General features: G+C 40.6%; 1 annotated feature.

Moving 5' to 3' along the window:
• Positions 340-389: an enhancer, noted in NCBI's record as "active region_22475". NCBI's record gives its function as "activates an Ori minimal core promoter by ATAC-STARR-seq in GM12878 lymphoblastoid cells {active_cell/tissue: GM12878}" and the evidence as "EXISTENCE:reporter gene assay evidence [ECO:0000049][PMID:35858748]".

The following is a 3145-nucleotide window of genomic DNA, read 5'->3' as shown; positions in this document are numbered from 1 at the left end:
GTAAGAGCTGGTAACAATCAGATTCTCATTAACAATAGAATGGGATGAAGGGTGGGGTCCAACTTCCCCTCCCTATATGGAGCAGCCGTGCCCCGGCAACTGAGGACAGACCATGAAGTTTCCTGCTCTGGACTGGGGGAAGAAATTCTGCCCTGACCCCCATACTAGTGGTATCCCTCAGAGAGGTCAATCTGTGGTGTACAGCTACACTGTGGCCGGGAACCAAAGAACAAAGCCTTTGTAAACAGGTCATGAGCCCTGTGACGGGGCATGATATGGAAGCAGATCGTGTTCCTGCCAGCTCAGGACAAGGAGCTGATGCACTTTCTGCTCCACCTTCCCGTGAGACTTCAGCATACTCCAACAGGATCTCTTTCTGCCATCCTCATCAGGGAGGGCACGTACACTAGGCATCAGCCTACCTGGTAGCTCTTACTTTTTATCGCCATCTACTGGGCTCCATCTGAACTCCACCACTAAACAAAAAATACATAGCTACAGCAAACAGCATCTGAGATAGCTTGTGGATAGGTTCCACCGCCTAGAACCCATCCACAACCAAGGAACCCGTACAGAATACTTGTCTCCTGAAAGCACCTAGAAACTAAGCCAAATGATCATACACAATATGCACCACAGTCATACACCCCCAAGGGAAAAAATTAAAAAATGAAAAAGCCTCACCCAAATGATAGCAAATTCAAAAAAAGAAGTTACAGCATCTTTGGATGAGAAGGAATCAGCACAGGAACTCCAGTAGTACAAAAAGCAACAGTGTTTTACACTTCCAAAGGATCACACCAGCTACCTAGTAATGGATCCTAACTAGACGGAAATGTCTGAAATGAAAGGTAACTCAAAATATGAATTGCAAGGAAACACAATGAGATCCAAGAGCAAGTTGAAATCTAATACAAAGAAACCAGAAAAATGATCCAGGATATGTAAGTTGACATAGTTATATTAAGGAAGAACCAAACAGAATTTCTGGAATAGAAAAATTCACTACAGAGATTTCAAAATACAGCTGGAAGACATAACAATAGAAAAAACTAAGCAGAAGTGATGGCAGCGGCAGCTCCAGATGGCCTGCCGCTGCCATCACGCAGGCTGCAGTAGAGGGGTGTGGACGGGGTTGCACGACCAAGGAGCAGGCAGGAGCCGCAGCCCCACGGAGCAGGCAGGAGTCGCACGCCCCATGGAGCAGGCAGATCTAAGCCTCCCTGTGCTCTTGAGGTCCAGGAGCAGGCAGGAACCCTGCCCTCCTGGGTGCCACTGCAGCTGCCCAAACCACAGCTGCAGATCCAGGCTAAAAGGAGTTCTGAGCATGGAACAATACCTGCTACAACAAAAGCACGTGTAAGTAAAGCCCATAGACTCTACATAAAACAACTACATAATAGAAACTACAAAGCAACTAGCTAACAACTAGCAACTGGCTAATAATACCACAATAGAAACAAAACCTCACATATCAATATTAACCTTGAGTGTAAATGGCCTAAATGCGCTCCTTAAATGACATAGAATGGCAATATGGATAAAAAACAGATTTAACCCTCTGCTGCCTTCATGACATCCATCTCACGTGTTCAAAATAAAAGGATAGAGAAAGATCTATCACTGAAATGGAAAATGAAAAGAAGCAGGGGTAGCAATTCTTGTATCAGATAAAACGGACTTTAAACCAACAATAGTAAAAGAGAACAAAGAAGGGCATTATGTAATGATAAATGGTTCCATTCAACAAGATGATTTAACTATCCTAAATATATAGGCATTCAATATTGGAGCACCCAGATTTATAAGACAATTACTTCCAGAAGTAAGAAAGGAGATAAACAGCCATATAATAACATAATAACAGCATTAGACAGATCACAGAGACAGAAAACTAACAAAGAAATTCTGGACTTAAATTTGATACTTGACCAAACAGAACTAATAGACATCTGGTGAATACTCCAGCTAACAACCACAGAATATATGTTATTCTCATCTGTGCACAGAACTTTCTCAAAGATTAACCACATGCTCAGTCATAAAGCAAATCCTAACCAATTTAAAAAAATGAAATTGCACCAAGCATCATCATGCACCGCAGTGGAATAAAATTAGAAATCAATACCAAGAGGAGCTCTGAAAACCACACAATTACATGGAAACTAAACAACTTGTTCCTGAAAGACTTTAGGGTACATAATAAAATTAAGAGAGAAATAAAAAATTATTTGAAATGAATGAAAATAGAGGTATAATATACCAAAATCTCTGGAATACAGCAAAAGCAGTGGTAAGAGGAAAGTTTATAGTGCTAAATGCCTACATCAAGATAGAAAAATCTCAAATTAACAATTTAATGTTGCACCTGAAAGAACAAGAACAAGAACAAACAAAAGAACAAGAACAAACATACAAGAACTAAACTCAAAGCTAGCAGAAGAAAAGAAATAACTAAAATCAGTGCAGAAACAAATGAAATTGAGACCCCCAAAGCCATAAAAAGGATCAATGAAATAAAAAGTTAGTTGTTTGAAAGGATAAACAAGATTGATAGACCACTAGCTAGATGCAGGGAAAAAAGAGAGAAGATACAAATAACTACAATCAGAAAGGGCAAAGGTGACATTACAACTGATTCCACAGAAATATAAAAGATCCTCAGAGACTGCTATGAACATCTGTATGGGCACAAACTAGAAAATTTAGAGTAAATGCATAAATTCCTGGAAATACCCAGCCTCCCAAAGTTGAACCAGGAAGAAATGGAAACCATGAATAGACCAATAATGAGTTTTGGAGTTGTATAAGTAATAAAAATTAACCCACTATAAAAAATTCGGCCAGGTGCAGTGGCTCATGTCTGTAATCCCAAAACTTTGGGAGGCTGAGATGGGTGGAATGTTTGAACCCTGGAATTTGAGACCAGCCTGGGCACCAATGTGAAATCTCATCTCTACAAAAAATACAAAAATTAGCCATGTATGGTGGTGTGTGCCAGTAGTCCCAGCTACTTGGGAGGCTGAGGTGGGAAGATTTCTTGAGCCCAGGGAGTCAAGGCTGCAAGAAGCTGTGATCACTCCACTTCACTGCACCCTGGGTGACAGAGTGAGACCGTTTTTTTGTTGTTTTTGTTTTCGTTAAA

Source organism: Homo sapiens, chromosome 5, assembly GCF_000001405.40.
Source record: "Homo sapiens chromosome 5, GRCh38.p14 Primary Assembly".
Taxonomy (NCBI): domain Eukaryota; kingdom Metazoa; phylum Chordata; class Mammalia; order Primates; family Hominidae; genus Homo; species Homo sapiens.
Note: the sequence above shows the minus strand (reverse complement) of the source record. Positions and strands in the feature narration are given on the sequence as shown.